The sequence below is a fragment of the Homo sapiens genome, chromosome 6 (genome assembly GCF_000001405.40).
Source record: "Homo sapiens chromosome 6, GRCh38.p14 Primary Assembly".
Lineage (NCBI taxonomy): Eukaryota > Metazoa > Chordata > Mammalia > Primates > Hominidae > Homo > Homo sapiens.
Genome location: NC_000006.12, coordinates 124346263 through 124372701, shown reverse-complemented (window position 1 = coordinate 124372701; position 26439 = coordinate 124346263). Strand labels below are relative to the sequence as shown.

Sequence of the window (26439 nt, the reverse complement as noted above, 5' to 3'; positions counted from 1 at the left end):
TTTGACACATAAACTAAAAGTATACTTGGAATATACAGGAACATTGAATATGCAAAATCACCATATATGGTAACTTGTTTTTAGTCAGGGTAAAGTATTTTTTAATATTTTCCAAAATGTATGTTTCCTAAAGAGAACATTTCAGTGTGAAGTAAACTTGAGTATCCTTTCTCTTAAGGCAGTTTATCAATTAAGACAAACATAAAAATCCTGAGAACAGCAATTCTAGTGAATTTCAAAGACTGGCTTTTCTCTATCTGGGAAGGGCAGCCTGCTCAAGTGAGTGGACAGCTTCAGGAAAAATAAACACAGATGGAACAGACCCTGAAGATCTGAGGGGTGATACATGTCACATACAGACAGCCTGCACATCCCACTCAAAATATTGTTTTTTCATGTTGTATTTTTCCTTTTAACACACGCTGGGAGAATGTAACTTGAAATTCGGCCAAACATATGATGAAATATTTAGATTATAAAATACCTTGTAATAATATAAAACTGAAACCAAATTTCTTTCATTAATAATACTTTGTATAAACATGTATGGTATTTTGTCATGAGAGCTTTTTGTAGTACCAATAAATTTATCATCAAAACCAATCCAGTTTCTCCTTATTTTTAAATATGTAATTGTTTTACTCCCTTCCTTTCTCAATCTTCATGTCTTTATGTTTAGTAATTCCACAGTTGTCAAGAGAAAATACTAGGGTTTGTGTTCATTTGCATTTTAGCTTGACTGTTTGATAATGTTTTCCAAACAGGATCACGTCATGTGTGCCCTGGTAGAGAGACTTTGATCTTATGCAATACTCGACAGAATGGAATCACTGAGAAAATAAAACACAACCAGGGAAGTGATATAAACTTGGAAAATGTTGTAACCCTCATAAATCACATTTACAGTGTGTTTTTTTTACCTTTATAAAAGAAAACTCTAACACAACACTGCTAAAACTTAACTTACACTCTTTTTTTTCCTTTCTTTCTTTTTTTTTTTTTTTTTTTGAGACAGAGTCTTGCTCTCTCCCCCAGGCTGGAGTGCAGTGGCGCAATCTTGGTTCACTGCAACCTTTGCCTCCCAAGTTCAAGCGATTCTCCTGCCTCAGCCTCCTGAGTAGCTGGGATTACAGGCACACGTCACCATGCCCAGCTAATTTTTTTGTATTTTTAGTAGAGACGGGGTTTCACCCTGTTGGTCAGACTGGTCTTGAACTCCTGACCTCATGATCCTCCCACCTTGGCCTCCCAAAGTGCTGGGATTACAGGTGTGAGCCACTGCTCTTGACCAACTTACACTGTTAAAAAACAATGGAATTAATAAACAATGGAATTAGTCACAGACTAAGAATGCTCATCTTTCTAGAGTTACAAGATTGTAGGGAAACACTCTTGTCTCGTTATCTCGTAAGCAATTAACATTTTATGTTTCCTTGCATGGAACATTTCAGACCCATTATTGCTGTTAGATAATATTCTGTTAACTTTGTTTTCAAAACTATGCTTCTAGCTTTATATTTATTGAGGTATAACTTAAAGAGAAAATAATATTCAGTTGTACTAATTATTTGGCTATTTGGCAATATTAAACTCAGCTATCTTTGTTTTTTATTTTTCATTGAGAAGGAAACAAGAAACAGACAAGAAGAATTGGACTCATTATGTAGCACACTATGATGCCGCAGTTAACACACTGCAGAAATGCGTTAGAAAATAAGTACTGGGGGGTCTGGGTGTAAAAATTTCTCAATGGATTACTTGTACTCATAAAACCAGAGTGCAAAATCTCGAGTCCATTCATTCTGTAGGCTTTCTGGTGAATCGAGTGTACTGGGTGTACCTTCCGGGGGGGTCACAGCCTTTGCGAGTGCCTATATAGCTACAGATCTCTTCAGAAGCAATTGCAAGAAGTGTGCCTGCTTGTGTGCTATTGGTTCCCCTCTAAGGACTAATTGAGGGCACCAAACTCATTCTCACTTATAATTTAAATAAAAGATTTGAGGACCTATCACTAGAGATTTTTCTGTCAGAGTGGAAAAGAAACAGAGTATCCCTGTGGTATTAATATTGCTATTTTGCTACAAAATGCCTAGTTTTTACACATAAGAAAGATGACATTTTTGACGTAGCTCCTAATTACTTCAGTTTTATATATTATGCTACCTCTGAGTGTGAAAACCCTGGAGTCCTACAATTACCCTTAGACTCATTCCTCTAGCAGGTTGCATGTGCTAATGAAGAAAAGAGAAAAACTAATTATATTCTATAAATGACTGTTTATTAGTGAGTCATCCTCCTCTTTTTACCCTTCTAAGATGCCTTTCTGATTGCATCAGGCTGTATACACATTTTGCGTTATTAAAAATTAAAAATATAACCTATAAAGAGGCGGAAGAGAAGTGACACTCTAAGTGCTACGCTGAAACTTAAATATTTCGAAATTTCTTCATGCAAATCTCAATCAAGAAAGAGAGCTAAATAGCCTCATTTTCTCTGTATTGTTTTGCATCTAGTAGCACGGTATTTACTGAACATTGCTCCCTGGTTACCTGTAGCGTACTGAACTACTAAACCAAAGGTTCAATTGCATTTTCAATGTAAATTTTAAGTGCAAAGCAGAATAGAATAGGTTTGTCATCATATGAAAGGCATGAAAAACAGTCACTTGTTTGCTCTTTCTTTGCCAAATAACCCTGGATGCCAGAAACAAATTTTGCTATTTAATATCCCTTGAGTTGTATTTTTATATAATTTCCCCCTATTTCATCAAAGCATCAATTGTCCCAGAGTGAATCCACAGGTTAAAAAAAAAAAAAAAAAATTGACATTCTGCCCTCTAAAGCAAATTTGTCAACTGCCAATCTTAATTTAGTTTCCAAATGAGTCCCAAGGATCATGTCTGGGTAGTAGTTTAAATAAAGGCGGTGATTTTGACACAGCCATCACAGAACTTATCAAAGACCAAAAGCACACCAGGGGCTGGGGTGGTATGAGGAATTGGACATACTTTTCAGGTAAATTTTGAAACTATTTTGGGATGTAAGGCAGGGTACCCAATCTTTTGGCTTCCCTGGGCCACACTGGAAGAAAAGTAATTGTCTTGGGGATCACATGAAATATACTAACACTGACTATAGCTGATGAGCTGAAAACATAAATCACACACAAAAAACTCACAATGTTTAAGACAGTTTACAAATGTGTGTTGGGCCACACTCAAAGCCATCCTGGGTTGCATGCAGCTTGCAGGCTGTGGATTGGACAAGCTTGACCTAAGGGGCCACTTAATAGGAAATAATTCTTATGTGGACCAATTATTTCAAGGTTTTCAGAAAATTACAGTGGTGTCCATTTTTTAAAATTCAATTATTTTTAAATTTAAAGCCATGGAACTCTTAATGCAAATGTATTCTTGTTATTTTACATGACTCCATAAATAATAAACCTATACAAGCACAGGTTTTTAAAATGGGGGACAGAATAAAAATTACTATCCTAGAATAATTTCCATAGAGTGGGCTTTAGAGACAAACAAGGATGGTAATTGCTTACGTCATGTTCATATTTGTTATTATTTTATTTCCAGCAGGATACTATCTTGGAATGTTATTATCTGTGCTTTTAATTTTTATACTTATGTTTTGCAAACTTTCTCTTCTGAGTTAGTAATATCCTCATTGCTTCAAAGAGAATTAGCATTGTTTTAGTAGGAATGCAAAAAGAAAGAAATGGTTGGTGCTTGATTTTTATTTTATTTTTCAAAAGAGCCTCTCAAAGACCACATCAGAAATAACAGCTTTGAAACCAAAGCTTTTGATCTATGAGAGAATAAAAGGTTGCTGAGAAAGAAATGTTGGGTAAGGGAAACTGCACATAGTTTATTTTTTACTAACAGATTGAAAAGAGAACAGATAAAACCATAAAAGTCCATTTCCAGAGAGAACAGAGTAAGAAGTTGCAGTAATTGGGTAAGGTATGCCTTTGAATGAGTAACAGATCATCTTGTGAAGACAGCTAAGTTTCAAACAACTCTGATTACCTGCTCTCATTGCTCTTTGGGAGGACCTTCTACGAACATTTTCTATGCATGGTGCCTATGAGTCACCCAGAAGAAATAATGCTAGCTTATGTTCCAAAACTTTGCTGATGCTCAGGGGGACTCTTCTGTTTGGAAGGACCCTCTTTCAATACCCATCATATTTTTTGAGGCCCACAAAAAAGAAAATGGGGTTCTTGACATCCACTGGGGAATCTGAAAGAGGTTTTAGGAATAGTAAAAGATGTCAAAGTAAGAAAGTACAAATTAAAGCAGTTCATTCATAGAGTCATAGGAACTGTAGCTGCCATCTAGATCTTATGCAGGGAAAGAATTCAACTCAAGTTATGAGAGGAAACAAGAGAACTATGAAATGGTTTAAATTGTTTTAACCACAAGAGTAAGGAAGGCCAACATTTGTGTGGAAATATGCAAGCATAGTTGTAGTTTTCAACCAAAGAATACCCTGAAAATTGAGATCTTTTGCTTCTGAAAATTCAATTATAATGAAAATAAAGAAAAACTAGAGGATGTCTGGATACATTTTGGAGTCAGATCCACCTTGGAGAAAGGATGGGGACATTTCTAAAAGAATTTTACCACACAAAAGCAGCATAATGTAACTTGGGAATTAAAGGAAGAATTTAAGCCTAAATTTTCCTTAGAGCTCTGGGTATAACCTACCCAGCATTAAGAGTTCCATGGCTTTAAATTTAAAAATATTTGAATTTTAAAAAATGGACACCACTGTAATTTTCTGAAAACCTTGAAATAATTGGTCCACATAAGAATTATTTCCTATTAAGTGGCCCCTTAGGTCAAGTGGTTATTTCACTTGATATCTTGGGTGGTATCAGCAGTAAGTGATACATCAGGTGATGAATTTGTTTATGCGCAATTATCAAGATGTACCCTAGGATCTCTGATTCAAAGGATGGCCAGAAATCAAGAACTCACCTTGTGCCCTATGTCGAAGTTCCCAGTAATTAAATCCTTACAACTCAAAATATGTTTGACAGGCAACAAGAATGTAATCACATAGCAGTTAGGGATGAAATAACTTAGGCCTCACTCTAAGAGAACCATAATCTATAATTAAAAAGATATCAAAGTGATTTATATAATGGTTAGTTTTAAAGAGCCCTGATTTGAGGTGCCCTAATGCTGGGATTACTTTCCTTTTGCTTGCTACCACCACAGAGTGCTGGAATCGACGTGAGAGATGTAGACCTCATTATCCATGCAATAGTGGAGGGGAAGAAAAAGTCCCCAGCAGCTGTATTTGTAGATCTAGACAATTACTGAAGTCCACTCTATTACCATTTGATTTCATTCCAGTGAGCATTGTTCATATGCCTGACATTTTCCTTGATCCTAGGGATGCATAAAACATGATTCCAACATTGAAGAACAGATAGTTAAGGAAACATATAATTAGAATATATTGATAAGAACAACTTATTGCATTTGTTTTATGATGTATCAAATGGGCTTATTTATAAACACCTAAAATGCTCTTAACTGATTCTATAATTCCTCACTACTGTGTAGTAGCTCAGTGGCATTCTCCTGCATAACGATGATGTGTGGTCTTTTAGCAAATACAAGTTTAGAAAGAGAGATGGAAATGTACATATGTATTACAATACAGTGTGGGAAATAATATCATAATTATTTATAAATTTATGGAGAGTTATTCAGCATTTTAAAATTCTTATTACTTTTTTTTTTTTTTTTCGAGACAGGGTCTCACTCTGTCACCCAGGCTGGAGTGCAGTGGCACGATCTCAGCTTACTGCAGCCTCTACCTCCTGGGCTTAAGTGATCCTCCCACCTCAGCCTCCTGAGTAGCTAAGAATACAGGTGTGAACCACCATGCCTGGCTAATTTTTTGTATTTTTGGTAGCGATGGGGTTTCACCATGTTGCTGAGGCTGGTCTAGCTCAGGTGATCCACCCACCTCAGCCTCCCAAAGTTCTGGGATTATAGGCATGAGCCACCGTGCCTGGCCTATTACATTTGAGTTCAGTAATCTGTTATTTGACAATCACACGTATCCTCAATAAGTAAGGTTATACTGGCCTCAAAAGATGAGATGGGAGGCACTTCTGCTGTATTCTTAGAAAGAATTTGTGTATATTGGTAGTATAACATTCCTAAACATTTTTAAGAATTTTTCAGTGAAATCATGTGAACACAAAATGGTTTTTTTTTTCTGTCAAAAGATTTTGATTAATGATGCAATTTATTTAATGAATAAAAAGGTCTTCAGATTTTTAATTTATTTCAAGTTGTGGTCTCCAAAGAATTTGTCTATTTCACCCTGATTGCAAATATATTGGCTTAAACTTGTTCATAATGTACTCTCTCCAATCATCTATAGAGTTATTTGTGATATTAGCAAAAGGTGATTTTACTCTTTTTTTCGTTTAATCACTATTGATAAGGATCCCCTCAATTTTATAAACACTAAAAAGCAATTTGGCTTTATTGCTTTTTTTCCCCTATTGTATATGCATTGAGTTCTGCTATTGTCCTTGTTATTAGAATGTTTTCACTTTAGAGAAGTTTCATTTGTTGTTCTTTCACTAGCTTCTGGCTATGGAAGTTAAGATCATTGAGTTTTGAGGATTTCTACTCTTTTAATATCTCTCTTTAAGGTCATTTTTTCCTCTAAGCATTTCTGCAATTTCACACCACCAAGTTTTTTTTTTAGCAATAAATTCATTTTTATTGAGTTCAGAATACTTTCTAAACTCCATTCCAACCTATTAGGTCCATAGGTTTAGAAGTATATTGTTTAATTTCCACACAGTTGCAGATTTTCTAGCTTAATTCTATAGTTGTCAGACAATACTTGCTGAATAATTGCAAATCATTCTAAAATTTGACTTTCTACATTTTGAATCATTATATGATTGAATATTCTATATGCCTTTGAAAACCCTTTTGTTTGGTGGAGTGTATTCTATATGTCAATTATATCAAGTTTTTTAACTGTTTTATATAGATATTCTATATCCTTATTGAATTTTCATCTGATTGATGTATCCAGAGAGTAATGTAAAAGTTTCCCACTGTGATTGTGGATATGGCTATTTCTCCTTTTAATTCTATTAATTTTTACTTCATATACTTTGAAGCTGTATTATTTTATTCAGGTAATGTTGCTTTGCAATATCTTCATGTGGATTTACCTTTTTATCATTATTACATTTCCCCCTTTATCTTTAGTAATGTTTCCTGCCTTAAACATTACCTCATCTTATATTAAAATTACTACATCACAAATCTACAAAAACTATATTTGTTTTTATAGGAACAGATTTTACTTGTTCTTAACTTATAATTTAAATCCTATTTAAGGCATATCTCTTATAGACAACAATACATTTGGGTTTTGTGTCTTTATCCAGACCAACAATCTTAGCCTTTTAATTGGAATATTAGTATATTTACATTTAATATATTTATTGATATATTTAAGATTATAGCACCCATCTTGATATTTTTTTCTTATTGACCCTCTCTGTTGTTGTTAGCATTTCTTCCTTCTTAGCATTGCTTAGGCTAATCAATTATTTTCATTATTTAATTTTTCACCTATACTTAGTTTTTAGGAGTTATGCCATCTTTTAGTAGTTACTCTAGACATTACTAGTCTTGAACTATTATAATCTAACATAAATATTACCATTAACATTTCCATAATAATGCTACAACCTTAGAACACTTTAGCTCCTTTCTACCTCTTGTGTTATTGTTGTCATGCATTTGAGTTTTACAAATATTTAAATCCCCAAATATTTTATTGCTATTGTTTTGTGTTTAACAATACAACCTGTGTTATTCTTTCCATTATCTTCTTTCCTTCCTAAAATTCCCTTTTTCTCTCTGGGGTGTTTTTTTTCTCACTCTGCCTAAAGAACTACCTTTAGTATTTCCTTCAGTTAAAGTTTGCTAGTAATTATTTATCTTACGTGTTGTTGAAAAATGCTTTCATTTCATCTTAATTGTTGAAGAATATTTTTGCAGGGTAAAGAATTCTAGGTTGGCATTTTAAAGCACTTTAAAGATGTCATTCAATTGCCTTCCTGTTGAAAGGTCAACTGTCAGTCTTTTTGCTGTTCCTTTGGGTCTTTTATCTTTGGCACCTCTTATAATCTTCTCTTTGATTTAGATTTTTAATGTTTCTGTTCATCTATACCTAAATCTGGTTTTCTCGATTACACTTGAAATATGAAAGTATTCTTGAATCTGTGGGTTGATGTTACTAATTAATTTTGGAAAATTCTCTGTCATCTTCACTTCAGATATTGCTTCTATCCAATTCTGTTTTTTTATCCTGGTAATTCAATAATGTGCATATTGAATCTTTTGTTGAACCCATATGTTTTTGACATTCTTTTCTCTCTTTTTTTTTTTTTTGGTATTTTTAACCCTTTCCTGTGCTTTAGTTTGGAGAATGTTAATCAATTATTTCTCAAGTTCCTTAATCCTCTCTTCTATTCTTTTAAATCTACTATTAAACCTACTTAATGAGTTCTTACTTCTAGATATTATATTTTTAAGTCTTAGAATTTCCATTTGATTCTTTACATAAATTCCAGTTCTCTGGGGCTAAATTATTTCTCTTTCAATGTATTAGTTCCAGTTTTCCCGTTTATTTTCTCTAATATATTGTTTATGTGTTTTTAAAAATCTTTACCAGATAATTAAAATATCTGAATCATCTCTTGGTCTATTTCAATTGTGTATCTTCTTCTTCTCTTTCAATCATTACATTCTTTCTTTTAGCATCTGTAATAATTTTCAATTGCCTGATGTCATGCACATAAATAAACTGTAAATGTCTAATATAATGGTGTCTTTATCCTAAGATGTTTCTCTTTTCTCTCAACTAGAGAGATAAAGTGATGGGTAATCAGTTTATTTCAATCAAGAATTGTGCTGAGTTGAGCCTGGATTTAGTTCTGGTAATCTTCAGTCTGTATTTGGTTTGCCCCTGGCTTGTTCTTCAGATCTTTTCACATGAAAGTCTAGTTTATTCTATAGAGTCCTTCCCTGTCTTCAAACTAATTTGGCATGACTGCCGAAAAATTTTCATTATGCATTTACAGAGTTTTTCCATTTATATTTTTAGCCTGGTACAGAATTTGCCTAATGCCTTAACAGAAAAATTGCCTATGTGCACTAGACCACCTCCCTCAAAGCTATGCTGATTTATACATTTGTCAAAAAATAGCATTCAACAGGGTGTAAAGCCTGAATACTTAGCCTCCTGCCCCAACCAGAAACAACAAATGCACCCAGGGTATAGCATGTTTACAAAGTTAGCTCATCTTTTTCGAATATAGCTTTTTTTGAGTAGTCATTACTTTAACAGATCTCTGTTGTTTTCAACTTGTTGGTATCTAAAGTTTACAATATACACACACAAACAAGTAATAGATACATTATACAAACATATATTTCTTGCTTTATCTCATGGTCAATTTATAAGGATTTTAGTAGTCCACATAAAAAATTCTGGCTGAGCGTGGTGGCTCATGCCTGTAATCCCAACACTTTGGGAGGCCAATGAGGGCAGATCACTTGAGGTCAGGAGTTCCAGACCAGCCTGGCGAACATTGCAAAACCCCATCTCTACTAAAAATACAAAAATTAGCCTAGTGTGGTGGCACGCATATGTAAACCCAGCTACTCGGGAGGCTGAGGCAGGAGAATCACTTGAACCTGGGAGGCGGAGGCTACAGTGAGCTGAGAGTGCACCAATGTACTACAGCCTGGGCGACAGAGTGGGACTCTATCTCAAAAAAATAATAATAATAAAATTCTTTTTCCTTTTTTATTCATTTTTTCAAAATAAATTTTGGTTTTATCTCTTTTTTCTTCTCTTAGTAGAAAGTGAATTAAAGAAGTTGGATTCTTTGGGGATGATAATAAATCATTTTGGACATTTTGAATTTAAGGTGACAATAGAATTGACCTGACACCAGCAGGAAGTTGGAGATGTGACACATTAACTTAGCAACAAGGTCAAGACTGAAGACATAAATCTGGTAGACATATGTGTAAAGATGATAGTTTATGTCAGCAAATGGCATTTTCAAGAAAAAGAATGGAGACAGAGAATAAGAAAGGTTCATGAACTGTTTTCCTCACTTTAGGGGTAGTAAAAGGAAACAGAAAATAAAACAAAGAAAAATGAATTTAAGAAATGAGGAAATAATCAGTTTAATTCATGAATTATGAAGGAAAACGAGAGAAGAGAGATTGTGACTGACCAAATTCCAACTGGTTGGTTCATTTCTAGATTTGGGAAAGAGTTACATTACATTTAATTATTAATAATAGGTCGAATATCTTTCCCTGCATCATAAGGCAAAAATCTGCTTTGATAGTTGGGAAATAAAAATTTTTTCTAATTACTTTAGTAATAGTTAATTGAAATTTTCTCAGATATATAAATTTTACAGTAAGAAAATCAAAATTTAAAAAATGAACCCAATATATTATCATCATAATATTTGTTAAATTTTGTCTTAAATCAATTATTATAGGTAGTCTTTGTTTAATAGTAATTGCTCATATATTTTTATCTCATGAAGAAGACTAAAGAGGAAGAGTTATTTTTTCAAATAAAAAAAGATTACAGCATATTTCTCTGCATACCATCTTTTTACATATGAGGTCAGAAAAGCAAATTTTGATACAAGCATTGGTTTTATTGAGCAAAAGAATCCAAATATCTGATATCTTTCTAAATGAATTATTCATTTTGTTACAGAAGAAATAAAACTGACATTGTTGGAACAGTACATTATTCCACATTGCACTTGCATCTGGTTTTAAGGATTTGTTCCCTATAGTCTACAGTATATGACAACTTTTATCTCCTTCCTGTCTCTTACATTCAAAAGAGTGCAATTTTATTCCCTAAAGCTTAAATAAGCCACATTGTTACATGACTTTTTTATATAACAAATTTTCAAATTGACAAGTTATATCTAGATCTCTGAAGCAACTATCAAAATTATTAAAATATGACAGCTTTCTAGGAGTTGCTTCTAAATGTGTTCATTCTGAAACAAACATTAGGTATAAATTTCTGTTACTATAGTGAAATCTGAGAGAGATATACCTGCATCCCTAGTCCCAAAGGGTTAAATAAAGACAAGTTGGGTTGTTTTAAGTGTACAATAATCCCTTGGTTTATCCTTTACGCTCTATAAGTTTATTGTTTTATTTCTAAAGATAGGCACACCATTCACTAATGGTGCCCCATACATTATGAAGGTAGAAACATATCTGAAAATAGTAATATGAAGAAAAGTGTAAGTATTTAATTTCAGCCTGAGTAATTTATAATTTTATCACATGCAATAAAATATAGGTTTTTACGGACAATCCAGAAGACCACTAAGTTTTCTTCCCTTTGTATTACTATTCAAAAAATAATTTAATAAATTTTGTTTTTCCAGGTGATGAAATGAATAGATTAATCACCATATTATATATGTTTTCTTTCCTACTGCTATATACTTTCAACTTAAAAATCACTTCAGAACAAATAGCATATCTCTTCTGTGTTGAAAATACCTCAACTCAGTTGATGGCTGAGGTTAGTTCTTATTTCTCTCTATTTGATATATGATCAAGGGAACCACAATTGCCAAGAATAATACAACAGAATAATGAAGCTATATGAGGAATTGTCAAAACTCTTAATTCAATAACCCATGTCACATTTGATGCCCAAAGGCAATTTCAAACCGTTACCAGACACTTCAGGTTACAGACTAATTTTTTCTCAGTTTCCTTAACAGGACATCTAGGAAAATATCAACCCAGGAAGTTACACACTGCTAAATGCTTTAGGATATTTAGTTTCAACACTAATATCTCAATGCATTAGCATTAGCAGAAATAATTATATGAAATGTGTATGTTTATTTGCTCCTATCATCTTATGTATCATTTTATACTATATTCCCATCATTTTGTTAATTTAACTATGATATAACATTTAAAAGTTTCTCCGGTGGATTATTTTTATTTTTCTTTAGATTTTGTGGACACTGTAATTAAAATATGTTAATGGAAATTTTAATAATAATGTTGGATTTTCATAGAATTTTCAATGAAGAAAATATATTAACTATACCTCTATGTGTACAAAGAAAACATGATCAAAAGGGTTAGTCCTGTGTATCATATTATTGAAATTAAGTCATTTCAATATGAATGTACACTGTGAGTTGGTTGATTACTATAATTTCTGTTTCACTCATAAGCATATGGCAGAGAGTTCATTAGGAAAAGCAGAAAAGACAGCCTAATCAATAGAAAAAGAGGGAATCCTCCAGAACTCATTTTATGAGGCCAGCATCATCCTGATACCAAAGCCTGGCAGAGACACAACCAAAAAAGAGAATTTTAGACCAATATCCCTGATGAACATCGATGAAAAATCCTCAATAAAATACTGGCAAACTGAATCCAGCAGCACATCAAAAAGCTTATCCACCATGATCAAGTGGGCTTCATCCCTGGGATGCAAGGCTGGTTCAACATTCGCAAATCAATATACGTAATCCAGCATATAAACAGAACCAACGACAAAAACCACATGATTATCTCAATAGATGCAGAAAAGGCCTTTGACAAAATTCAACAACCCTTCATGCTAAAAACGCTCAATAAATTAGGTATTGATGGGACATATCTCAAAATAATAAGAGTTATCTATGACAAAACCACAGCCAATATCATACTGAATGGGCAAAAACTGGAAGCATTCCCTTTGAAAACTGGCACAAGACAGGGATGCCCTCTCTCACCACTCCTATTCAACATAGTGTTGGAAGTTCTGGCCAGAGCAATCAGGCAGGAGAAGCAAATAAAGGGTATTCAATTAGGAAAAGAGGAAGTCAAATTGTCCCTGTTCGCAGATGACATCATTGTATATCTAGAAAACCCCATTGTCTCAGCCCAAAATCTCCTTAAGCTGATAGGCAACTTCAGCAAAGTCTCAGGATACAAAATGAATGTGCAAAAATCACAAGCATTCTTATACACCAATAACAGACAAACAGAGAGCCAAATCATGAGTGAACTCCCATTCACAATTGCTTCAAAGAGAATAAAATACCTAGGACTCCAACTTACAAGGGATGTGAAGGACCTCTTCAAAGAGAACTACAAACCACTGCTCAATGAAATAAAAGAGGATATAAACAAATGGAAGAACATTCCATGCTCATGCGTAAGAAGAATCAATATCGTGAAAATGGCCATACTGCCCAAGGTAATTTATAGATTCAATGCCATCCCCATCAAGCTACCAATGACTTTCTTCACAGAATTGGAAAAAGCTACTTTAAAGTTCATATGGAACAAAAAAGAGCCCACATTGCCAAGTCAATCCTAAGCCAAAAGAACAAAGCTGGAGGCATCACGCTACCTGACTTCAAACTATACTACAAGGCTACAGTAACCAAAACAGCATGATACTGGTACCAAAACAGAGATACAGACCAATGTGACAGAACAGGGCCCTCAGAAATAATGCTGCATATCTACAACTATCTGATCTTTGACAAACCTGAGAAAAACAAGAAATGGGGAAAGGATTCCCTATTTAATAAATGGTGCTGGGAAAACTGGCTAGCCATATGGAGAAAGCTGAAACTGGATCCCTTCCTTACACCTTATACAAAAATTAATTCAAGATGGATTAAAGACTTAAATGTTAGACCTAAAACCATAAAAACCCTAGAAGAAAACCTAGGCAATACCATTCAGGACATAGGCATGGGCAAGGACTTCATGTCTAAAACACCAAAAGCAATGGCAACAAAAGCCAAAATTGACAAATGGGATCTAATTAAACTAAAGAGCTTCTGCACAGCAAAAGAAACTACCATCAGAGTGAACAGGCAACCTACAACATGGGAGAAAATTTGTGCAATCTACTCATCTGACAAAGGGCCAATATCCAGAATCTACAATGAACTCAAACAAATTTACAAGAAAAAAACAACCCCATCAAAAAGTGGGTGAAGGATATAAACAGACACTTCTCAAAAGAAGACATTTATGGAGCCAAAAGACACATGAAAAAATGCTCATCATCACTGACCATCAGAGAAATGCAAATCAAAACCACAATGAGATACCATCTCACACCAGTTAGAATGGTGATCATTAAAAAGTCAGGAAACAACAGGTGCTGGAGAGGATGTGGAGATATAGGAACACTTTTACACTGTTGGTGGGACTGTAAACTAGTTCAACCATTGTGGAAGTCAGTGTGGCGATTCCTCAGGGATCTAGAACTAGAAATATCATTTGACCCAGCCATTCTATTACTGGGTACATACCCAAAGGACTATAAAACATGCTGCTATAAAGACACATGCACACGTATGTTTATTTCGGCACTATTCACAATAGCAAAGACTTGGAACCAACCCAGATGTCCAACAATGATAGACTGGATTAAGAAAATGTGGCACATATACATCATGGAATACTATGCAGCCATAAAAAATGATGAGTTCATGTCCTTTGTAGGGACATAGATGAAGCTGGAAACCATCATTCTGAGCAAACTATTGCAAGGACAAAAAACCAAACACCGCATGTTCTCACTCATAGACGGGAATTGAACAATGAGAACACATGAACACAGGAAGGGGAACATCACACACAGGGGCCTGTTGTGGCGTGCGGGTTGGGGGAGGGATAGCATTAGGAGATATACCTAATGTTAAATGACGAGTTAATGGGTGCAGCACACCAACATGGCACATGTATACATATGTAACAAACCTGCACGTTGTGCACATGTACCCTAAAACTTAAAGTATAATAATAAAAAAAAGAAAAGTTCTAAACTCTAATCAGGTAACAAAAATTTACCTTAATGTTTTATCACGTTTTATTACCTCTTACCAATATCCATTATGAAGCCATCACTTATTTACAAAAGATTTCATGGAAATAAATACATTTCTTTCACATATATAAAGCCCACAGAATGTCAACCCTGATTCTTTTTCACAAATTTCTCCCTCAGCCTCAAACTAACTGATCCATTCATAGGGTAGACACATTCAAATTGCTTTTTTTTTTCTGATGGATTGAGAAAAACAATGGTTTACATTCTTTTAGTATTATCAGAAGTTTCATATGTACCATTTTTGAGTTTCTATCTTTCTGTACATTTTTCCATTACCAATTACCATTGCTTCCTTCTGGCACTGTATTACCTGAAGAATGTGAGGCAGTTGCAACGACTAAAGAATTAAATGGTATAAATACACCTTTTTTCAAATGCTTTGAACACGAAAGAGAGGAAAAACCCAGTACAGATAACTATATAACGATAACTATATAACTTTGCCCTTTATGGTTTTTTTTTAGGTTATTTGTTAAAAAGGAAATTATTAAATTTTCATGTGCTCTGCAGAGCCCAGCCTTGGTTTATAGGATGAGAAGAAAATAAAATATTATCAACTGTTTCATTGCCAAGGGATAGAAATTATCTGCCCATGTACATTGGAAGAATTCTTAGTGCCCTTGCTGTGGTTTCAATGCCTGTGTCTGAGGTCATGAAATCACCAGCTTTATTCTGTGCCTGCAGTCATCATGGGGAGCAGTGAGCACAATTACAGAACTTTTGTGCAGCCAGCTTTGCTCAAATCTCTTTCTCTCTTTTCTTAATATTAAACAAATTATCTGATCTGCTGGATCATTTTACTCAGGCCATATGTCTGAACACCTGCCTTACAATTTTTAAGGTGATTATTTAAAATTGAAAATATCATTAAAAGTCATTCGACTATGGAATTCCTTTGAAGAAAGTGGATTATAGAGTAGCAGAGATGTATAAATTGGGCAAGGAATTCAAATCCTTGGAAAAGCGTGTCTGCTTTTCTTACACTGAGGCGAATGTGAGTTTTAAGCAGCAATCTGGTCTGGGTCCCTCCTAGAGCCACTGAACAATTTATTTTCATTGGTCACGGCACCTTCCTGAAAAGGCTGCCTGCTAACCAGAGTGTGGGGAACGATGCCCTGCAAAAAACACACAAATGGCATCCTCTAGGGAGATTTTGCTAGCCACGGTGAGGACTTGTCCACATTCTGATCATAAAATTACACATCCAAGAAGTTTTGGTTCTCTCTCATATCATGATGTCATCCTCCTATTTGATCCTTCATCTTTTGTCATTGAATAAAAACAAATCAAAATGATTTTTCCTTGATATAAAGCCACATATCACAGTTAACTAATAAACAAACATCACATGATGAGTGCTTTGTGAAACTCCTGCATGTAAGATCATAAATGTGTATTACCATTCTCTTCTCTCTCCTTCCAAAATATATAGCTTGACAAGGCAAAGGTAGTTCCTGAGGAATTTTCTTTAAAAAAAATTTTTTTTAGCTCTCTTGGTCTTTTAAAGCACGTGAGTATCTCTGGGTTTTACAAATATCAACATGTTTGCAGGGGCCTTCTGCTCTAATACAGGGTAAGTAAAAGAACATTTTACAATTTTTATGTTTTAAAGTTTTAAATACGAGGAAGTACATACAAGTTTGAAACTCTCTCAAGAGTCAGAATTTGCTACTACCTTGAATGGATTACCTCATTTGACTTCTTTGCTGTTAATTGCATTCTAACAGAAGGATGATGGTGTTCGAGATCTGAAGCCTACACTATTTGTGTAGTAAGGGCATCCATGTGAAAAATATAGTAGCAAGATGCACACATACAGAGCACAAAAAAACTAAATGAAAAAAGCAAGTATTTAGTTTTCCTAGCCTATTTAGAATAAAGGGTTGATTGTATTCATTTCTATAACATATTATATACCTCTAGTAACAATTTCATTCAACCAAAGCCCATTAACTGTTTCAATTATTGCACTGTTATTTAAAATCAATAAGGACAATGTTTAGCAGAGTTATAAGCAAACTAAGTGATTTCAGAAATCTTCAAGATTTTTTTCTCTGAAAAAAATTCACATTTTGCTTCAGAAATCATTCAGTGGTTAATGTTTTAAAGTGCACTGCCTGGTCACTATAATAAGCAACAGTTCACTTAGTTTTGCTTAAGAAAAAGTACATTTTTGTGACTCACCAGACATATTTTTAATGATAAAAATGCAGAAATATAAATCAAGACACCTTTCAATTTACTTTCATTGAGGTGCAGCTAAGCAAGCAGAACAGGATGAGACTCTGCCTTACTTAGGAAGAGACTTGTTAACACCCTACTGATGACTCAGGCAAATTAGATGTAAATTACCTTTGAGAGGTCCCCAGCCTCCAAATAGAAGCAGATAACAAACACATTCCACGTAACCCAGAGGACTAGCCAGACAGCATACTGTAGAGAAGCAAGAGAGAAATAACGTATAATTAATTTGGAATCAGTTGAGTATGATTCAAATAAAACGAACTTTCGCACACCCTAATATAAGATTAGTGGGAAAGGTTAAATATTGCTTCTCTCTAAGGAACAGGATTAGATGTACGTTTATCTCTGTTGAGATTTTTTTTTCCTTCTTTCCTTTTTTTTTTTTAATGACAAAGTCGCACTCTGTTGCCCAGGCTGGAGTGCAGTGGCATGATCTCGGCTCACTGTAACCTCTTTCTTTCAGGTTGAAGTGATTCTCCACCCTCAGCCTCCCGAATAGCTGGGACTACAGGTGCGCACCACCACACCCAGCTAGTTTTTGTATTTTTAGTAGGGATGGGGTTTTGTCATGTTGGCCAGACTGGACTGTTGAGTTTTTTTTTTTTTTTTTTCTTACTGTTATGGACTCATAGGATTACAGCTCAAACCTGCTTAAGGATAAATTTTTAGGTTTTAAGACAAAAAAAATAGTAATCCACATTATTGTTTTAAAAGTGAATAATTATAGTTTCTAGACATCTAAAAAATTCAGTGCTCTAACATATATGTCTGATACAACCCACCAAAAGAAGACTCACAGTTTCCTTAGCAAAACCATCTCCGTGTAGGACAATGATCAACCTTTCCCCAAGTTGTCAAGGATAATCAAATCAGTCTTTCTGCCTCTGTCCCATTCCAATCAGCTTTCTCTCTTTGGTGTCTCCTTTTCATTTCTCCATTCACCTTCTTATTTTATCATTTCACTATCTCCCATTACAGTGACCATCTAACTAGTGTCCCTAAATTTATTCTATTTTCTCTCTAGTGTACCTTCTATAATGATGATAGATTTTCTTACTAAGACATAGTTCTGATCATTCAGTCAGTTAAAATGTATGAAGCATCCAGAAGGCAACATGCTAGCAAGACACTGAGAATGCAAAGACCAATGATGAATTCCTCCTGAACTCAAATCAAATGAGAGTGACTTTTTAAAAATAGATCATTATTATACAAGAATCATAAAAATATATAAAGTCTGAGCACAAGACAGGAAAATGAGAGGAGTACATAACCTGTCCTGGGAAAAAGAGTCTGCAAAGCTTAACAAAAGAGGTTAAGAAACACCTTCCAGAAGAGATGAATCAAGCTTAAAACGAATGGACTTAAAAGCATGCGGGGTTGGAAGGGCTTTCATGGGAGGATCCTGTAAACAAAGGAAAGAGCAGGTGTGAATTCTGAAAAAGTGAAACAAGAGGATATCATGTCACTTCCCTTCTAAACAAATGCCAATGGCTCCCAACCTTTCTAGGTGAGTTCCAACATCTTTAATTTATGCTTCAAGAACCTCCATGATCATGATCATGATCTTGCACCTTGTTACCTTTTGAGCCATGTGTTTCAGTTGATCTCTGGAGTCATCCTTGATTCCAGACACATATATTATTTGCTGTTCCATGTAGATGGAAAGTTATTTCCCACCTCTGTGCCTCTTTTTTTTTTGAGACGGAGTCTCGCTCTGTCGCCCAGGCTGGAGTGCAGTGGCGCGATCTCGGCTCACTGAGAGCTCCTCCTCCCAGGTTCAAGCCATTCTCCTGCCTCAGCCTCCCCAGTAGCTGGGACTACAGGCGCCTGCCACTATGCCCGGCTAATTTTTTTGTATTTTTAGTAGAGACGGGGTTTCACCGTGTTAGCCAGGATGGTCTCGATCTCCTGACCTTGTGATCTGCCCGTCTCGGCCTCCCAAAGTGCTGGGATTACAGGATTGAGCCACCACGCCCGGCCTGTGCCTCTTTGTATATTATCCTTGTATTCTTGAATACTTTTACTTTCTCTTCTTACCACCTATCATTTTTTTTAAAAGGTTAATTCAAATATCACCTCCCTCATGATTCCGAACCAGAATTGGCTGAGCCCTGCTTAGTGCTGCAACAAACTTTGTTTCTCCTAATTTCATATGAAATGTCTTATATCTGATTATTTGCATATTTTCTCCAATGCACAGTGGTAATCTCCTTAAAAATACTACTTCTTAATTTTTGTTTATATTCCTAGGTTCCTAACTTAGTACTTTGCACAAAATAGTTATTAAGACAATGTTTTGTAAGTCAATGAATAAGTAGCAATATGGAGAAAATCATTATTTTCAGATTCAGAACCCATTCTTCCCTCTCAGACCCGGTTTTTATCAGATTTACTATGATCATTCATGTAGTATGAGGAGTGAGAGCTCTACGTGAAGAGTTTATGTAACAATAAATGATAACTCAAAACTGTTTTCTAAAGGAGTTGGTTTCATCTAACTGCTTAATGTGTGCGTTGCTCAATAGAGTATAATGTTAGGGCAAACTAAATGATCCAAGACAAAATATGGAATTTGAGAAGCTCTATGAGTTGAGGGCTGGGTCTAGAGACAGAATTAGGGGGCTAAGCAGGCTGTAGCAAGAGAGGAACTTCAGTTATAGAACAGAGATCTAAGGAGACATTTAAGTTTGTTTCAATGACTTAACTGATTACAAGAGATAGAAAACGCATGACTGATTATAATGTTTTATCACTTCCTTTGTGCACAATGACATATTTTCCCCATATTATTTATAATGGAGAGCTAAATAAACACTATTTACTAAAAGTCAAAGTAGCAGGATACTAGGACTTCAGCAATGGCTGATGAGCTAATGAAAGACACTGTATTACACATATCAAACTCTCCTGAAAATTTGTCGTCGGCAAGCATTCTTTCCAATATAGTATTTAAAAATGTCAATGCTGAAGCTTTTTAATTTCATAACTAAAATTATATTTTATGCTTATTAAATGCTAACCATGTTTATCTGTATTCACATGGTATATATGGAATAGTCACTACTTCAGTATTATATGTTGAAAATATAATAAAAATTTGGAATCTTCATTTATACTTAGTTACTTACATTTATGTGTATGTATAAATGTAAATTATACCTAGTTTGGTTAAAAATCAAGTTGAAACATTTATGTTTTAGCCACCAAAATTAATAATTTTATGAAAGCATATGAAAGGTAATGGATTACATGCAAATAAATAGCATATAGAGAATGAGAACACAGAACCTAACATCTGGCTCTGTCACTTGGATGCTCTTTGACTATCTTCAAGTGATATGACCCATTACAATTAAGTTTACTTAAATATAAAATAGGCTTCTTAGTAGTAGCAAACTCCATGGCTTGTATGGGAATGGAATGATCAACTGTTTGAAAGTACACAATACTTGAATTTTCACTATATGTTGTCATTTTATTATGATGATTATGTCACATCATCATCTCTTCTTGTTAAAATAATAAGCAGTAGGGTCGGGCGCGGTGGCTCAGGCCTGTAATATCAGCACTTTGGGAGGCCGAGGTGGGTGGATCACCTGAGGTCAGCAGTTTGAGACCAGTGGGCCAACGTGGCAAAACCCCATCTCTACTAAAAATACAAAATTAGCCAGGCATGGTGGCAGACGCCTGTAATCCCAGCTACTAGGGAGGCTTGAGGCAAGAGAATCACTTGAACCCAGGAGGCAGAGGTTGCAGTGAGCCAAGATCGCACCACTTCACTCCAGCCTGGGTGACAGCGCAAGACTTCATCTCAAAATAAACGAATGAATAAATAGATAAATAAATAAATAAAATAGCAGTAATCCTCAAAGATTTATTTATTAGGATATTACAAAATATACTTCCCACATGATTTCTTCTTCTTTTCTTTTTTTTTTTTTTTTGGTTTTTTTGAGACAGGATCTCACTCTGCCACCCCGGCTGGAAGGCAGTGGCCTTGGATCACTGCAGCCTCAACTGCACTGGTTCAGGTAATCCTTCCACTTCAGCCTCTTGGGTAGCTGGAACTACAGGCATGCATCACCATGCCTGGCTAATTTGTTGTATTTTTTGTAGAGAGAGTTTCACCATGTTGGTCTCAAACTCCTGGGCTCAAGCTATCTGCCTGCCTCAGCCTCTCAAACTTCTCATATTAACTGATATAAAACATTGTTCCATCATATTGAACTTGCAAACTAGACTTGTTTACTTAATGCAACATATTATTCACTAGATTAAGGGTTTTTGATATATTAACGCCATTATGTATAGACGAATGCTATTTCATGAAACCAACCTTCATTTGATCTAAAATACAATTTATTATTTCTAACTTAGTGCAACACATAATTATAAAGCATTTTCTATGTCTTGTTTTATGAGTTACTTTTTTAAAAATATTTTTATTTATTTATTTACTTTTTAGAGAAGGCGTCTCACTCTGTTGCCAAGGCTGGAGTGCAGTGGTGCTATCATAGCTCACTGCAGCCTTGAATTCCTGGACTCTAGTGATCCTCCTGCCTCAGTCTCTTGAATAGCTAGGACTACAGGCATGTGCCACCATGCGCAGCTATGAGTTGCCTCTTGACAGTATTTATTGGCAATTACTTTGGAGTAGAATATAATTTTTTATCCTCTTTTTTCCAGAGTAATTCAGAAGGATATGTACATAAAGAATATAGCAAATGTTCCTTTCATATCCTTGCATTTACTTTCACTATTTTCACTTAATTGTATATTTCATTACAATCCAGTTAGTCTCACAATGCACTATCCTTCATTACAGATTTGCCAAAAACACTGGTGTAACCCCTTTAATGAACATAGAAATCCACCCTAGTGCTACAGAGGGTAATTGCTACTTGTGCATCACTATCCAAAGGCAGGACTTTATCTAATTTATCTCATTTAACTTTCCTCATTAATTTTCTCTCATTTATCTTTCTTATACCTCCTATCTTAATCCTATTTTCTTTTTTTATTCTTTTCTACATTTTTTTTCTCATTTTAGTAGCTGGCACTTATCTATATCAAATATCCTGTAATTGGATTTTGCCTAGTTGCCTAAACATTGATGGAGATTTTGTACTGCCTTGTAATTCGGCCTATGATTTTTGTCAATAAACCCTGCTCTTAAAATTACTCAGCATAGTTATTTAAGAGTATAAAGATCAGTACAAACTTCTTCCCTGTTGCTACAACTAGTTGATGTGATATAATTGACAATGATGCAGTTTGAGTATAATTGGAAAAGATGTTCTGCCCTGGAGAGATGACCTAATATAATAAAGTATCACAATTGCTAGATACCACCTAACTTGTAGTTTTCTGCTATAAAACTAATTTTGTTTTAGCCTCATTTTTTCTTGTGAAGAAAATCTTATATTTTATGTTTCAGACAGAAACTTTGAGATATTGTCTGTGATGAGAGAAAAATTCTATTGTATGATAAAATTCACTTTTAAGAATTGATTTCTGAAGCACCAGGTGAACCATCTGAGAGATTAACTTAACTTGAGAATCCAGGGAAATGGTTAAAACTATCAGCTGAAAAAAGTAATTGAATCATCATGGCTTCCCTGTGGTATTTGTGGCTCCAATGATGAAATCAAATTAGCTATATAAGATAAAAATTAGTTAAGGCTGTTAATCATGAAAGGCCAAAATATTGGTCAGGCTCAGAGACATGGCCCTATTATATGTCATGGGTTATACAATAATTAGAAAGGTAGACCAAGGTAGTATAAGACTAAGAACTTAATTAGAAAAGGAGGTGAGTCATGAATGAGTTCACTTTTATTAAATACCAGCTGGATGCAAGTGACTGCAACAGAAGCTACAGGGAAATATTACAGAATATAACTGAGTAACTCTCCTAATATTATCTATATGTATTAATGATTGACAATTAATGCAATCTATAGGAATGTTTTTAGGTGTGATTGTTTCTACTAGGATGCAAAACTAGTATCAGCTCACCAATATCACAGATATCATGCTGCTAATTTTAATGTAATAATGAGGCAGCCAAGTAAAAAGGGGTCCCTGGAGAATACCCAACCGGCCTGTGCACTGGGAGAATGGGGTGGAGCCTCGGGAAGTTCCCGCCTTTGTAGGGGGGAGCAGGCTGGCTCTCCTCTTCCTGTGTGGTAACCTGGGATTCAATCTGTGAGGGGGTAAACCAGCTAACAGGACTCTCTTGCTTTGCTGAGGGTTCCTGTTTCCCTTTTTTCCTTTGCACCCAATAAACCCTGCCCTACTCACCCTACAATATGTCCACGTGTCTAAATTATCCTGGTCCTCTGATAAGAACCCGGTTTTTTCCTACAACAATAATATAATCAGTTCTAATAAACTACGTTAGAATCACTCCTAAGGAACATTGTACTAACAAATCTTGTCTTAAAAACAACTGCTAGCAATCAGCGAGACTCCCTGGGCATAGGACCCTCCGAGCCAGGTGTGGGATATAATCTCCTGGTGCACCGTTTTTTAAGCCCGTCGGAAAAGCACAGTATTGGGGTGGGAGTGACCCGATTTTCCAGGTGTTGTCTGTCACCCCTTTCTTTGACTAGGAAAGGGAACTCCCTGACCCCTTGAGCTTCCCCAGTGAGGCAATGCCTCGCCCTGCTTCGGCTCATGCAAGGTGCACTGCACCCACTGACCTGTGCCCACTGTCTGGCACTCCCTAGTGAGATGAACCCAGTACCTCAGATGGAAATGCAGAAATCACCCATCTTCTGCGTCGCTCATGCTGGGAGCTGTAGACCGGAGCTGTTCCTATTTGGCCATCTTGGCTCAGTCTCGCTGATTGCTAGCACAGCAGTCTGAGATCAAACTGCAAGGCAGCAGCGAGGCTGGGGGAGGGGCACCCGCCATTGCCCAGGCTTGATTAGGTAAACAAAGCAGCCAGGAAGCTCAAACTGGGTGCAGCCCACCACAGCTCAAGGAGGCCTGCCTGCCTCTGTAGGCTCCACCTCTGGGGGCAGGACACAGACAAACAAAAAGACAGCAGTAACCTCTGCAGACTTAAATGTCCCTGTCTGACAGCTTTGAGGAGAGCAGTGGTTCTCCCAGCACGCAGCTGGAGATCTGAGAACGGGCAGACTGCCTCCTCAAGTGGGCCCCTGACCCCTGACCCCCGAGCAGCCTGAGAGGCACCCCCCAGTGGGGGCAGACTGACACCTCACACAGCCGGGTACAACTCTGAGACAAAACTTCCAGAGGAACAAGCAGACAGCAGCATTCGCGGATCACGAAAATCCACGGTTCTGCAGACAATGCTGCTGCTAACTATGCAAACAGGGTCTGGAGTGGACCTCTAGCAAACTCCAACAGACCTGCAGCTGAGGGTCCTGTCTGTTAGAAGGAAAACTAACAAACAGAAAGGACATCCACACCAAAAACCCATCTGTACATCACCATCATCAAAGACCAAAAGTAGATAAAACCACAAAGATGGTGAAAAAACAGAGCAGAAAAACTGGAAACTCTAAAAAGCAGAGCGCCTCTCCTCCTCCAAAGGAACGCAGTTCCTCACCAGCAACGGAACAAAGCTGGACGGAGAATGACTTTGACGAGTGCAGAGAAGAAGGCTTCAGATGATCAAACTGCTCCGAGCTACAGGAGGAAATTCAAACCAAAGGCAAAGAAGCTGAAAACTTGGAAAAAAATTTAGATGAATGTATAACTAGAATAACCAATACAGAGAAGTGCTTAAAGGAGCTGATGGAGCTGAAAGCCAAGGCTCGAGAACTACGTGAAGAATGCAGAAGCCTCAGGAGCTGATGCGATCAACTGGAAGAAAGGGTATCAGTGACGGAAGATGAAATGAATGAAATGAAGTGAGAAGGGAAGTTTAGAGAAAAAAGAATAAAAGGAAACGAACAAAGCCTCCAAGAAATATGGGACTATGTGAAAAGACCAAATCTGTGTCTGATTGGTGTACCTGAAACTGACGGGGAGAATGGAACCAAGTTGGAAAACACTCTGCAGGATATTATCCAGGAGAACTTCCCCAATCTAGCAAGGCAGGCCAACATTCAGATTCAGGAAATACAGAGAACGCCACAAAGATACTCCTCGAGAAGAGCAACTCCAAGACACATAATTGTCAGATTCACCAAAGTTGAAATGAAGGAAAAAATGTTAAAGGCAGCCAGAGAGAAAGGTCGGGTTACCCACAAAGGGAAGCCCATCAGACTAACAGCTGATCTCTCAGCAGAAACTCTACAAGCCAGAAGAGAGTGGGGGCCAATATTCAACATTCTTAAAGAAAAGAATTTTCAAGCCAGAATTTCATATCCAGCCAAACTAAGCTTCATAAGTGAAGGAGAAATAAAATACTTTACAGACAAGCAAATGCTGAGAGATTTTGTCACCACCAGGCCTGCCCTAAAAGAGCTCCTGAAGGAAGCACTAAACATGGAAAGGCACAACCGGTACCAGCTGCTGCAAAATCATGCCAAAATGTAAAGACCATTGAGACTAGGAAGAAACTGCATCAACTAATGTGCAAAATCACCAGCTAACATCATAATGACAGGATCAAATTCACACATAACAATATTAACTTTAAATGTAAATGGACTAAATGCTCCAATTAAAAGGCACAGACTGGCAAATAGGATAAAGAGTCAAGACCCATCATTGTGCTGTATTCAGGAAACCCATCTCACATGCAGAGACACACATAGGCTCAAAATAAAAGGATGGAGGAAGATCTACCAAGCAAATGGAAAACAAAAAAAGGCAGGGGTTGCAATCCTAGTCTCTGATAAAACAGACTTTAAACCAACAAAGATCAAAAGAGACAAAGAAGGCCATTACATAATGGTAAAGGGATCAATTCAACAAGAAGAGCTAATTGTCCTAAATATATATGCACCCAATACAGGAGCACCCAGATTCATAAAGCAAGTCCTGAGTGACCTACAAAGAGACTTAGACTCCCACACAATAACAATGGGAGACTTTAACACCCCACTGTCAACATTAGACAGATCAATGAGACGGAAAGTTGACAGGGATACCCAGGAATTGAACTCAGCTCTGCACCAAGCGGACCTAATAGACATCTACAGAACTCTCCACCCTAAATCAACAGAATATACATTTTTTTCAGCACCACACCACACCTATTCCAAAATTG

At 36.1% G+C, this 26439-nt stretch overlaps 1 protein-coding gene across 9 annotated transcripts in view, besides 1 other annotated feature; it reads right to left on the bottom strand.

Moving 5' to 3' along the window:
* Positions 1-26439, bottom strand: part of NKAIN2 (sodium/potassium transporting ATPase interacting 2) — a 1021776-nt gene that overhangs the window by 452939 nt on the left and 542398 nt on the right. For 7 of the 9 annotated variants that reach the window (XR_007059213.1, XR_007059215.1, NM_001300737.2 and 4 more), the window contains one exon: positions 17355-17435. The exons of the other annotated variants lie outside the window; for them this stretch is intronic. Coding sequence is in view for 3 of the 7 variants with exons in the window: in NM_001300737.2 (NP_001287666.1) it covers positions 17355-17435 (81 nt within the window). In the remaining 4 variants the exon portion in view is untranslated. The remainder of the gene's footprint in view (positions 1-17354; positions 17436-26439) is intronic. 9 annotated transcript variants of the gene reach the window in all.
* Positions 23732-24231: an enhancer, noted in NCBI's record as "H3K4me1 hESC enhancer chr6:124669617-124670116 (GRCh37/hg19 assembly coordinates)". NCBI's record gives its function as "activates a minimal SCP1, AML or CMV promoter by ChIP-STARR-seq in naive H9 embryonic stem cells {active_cell/tissue: H9 hESC(naive)}" and the evidence as "EXISTENCE:reporter gene assay evidence [ECO:0000049][PMID:30033119]".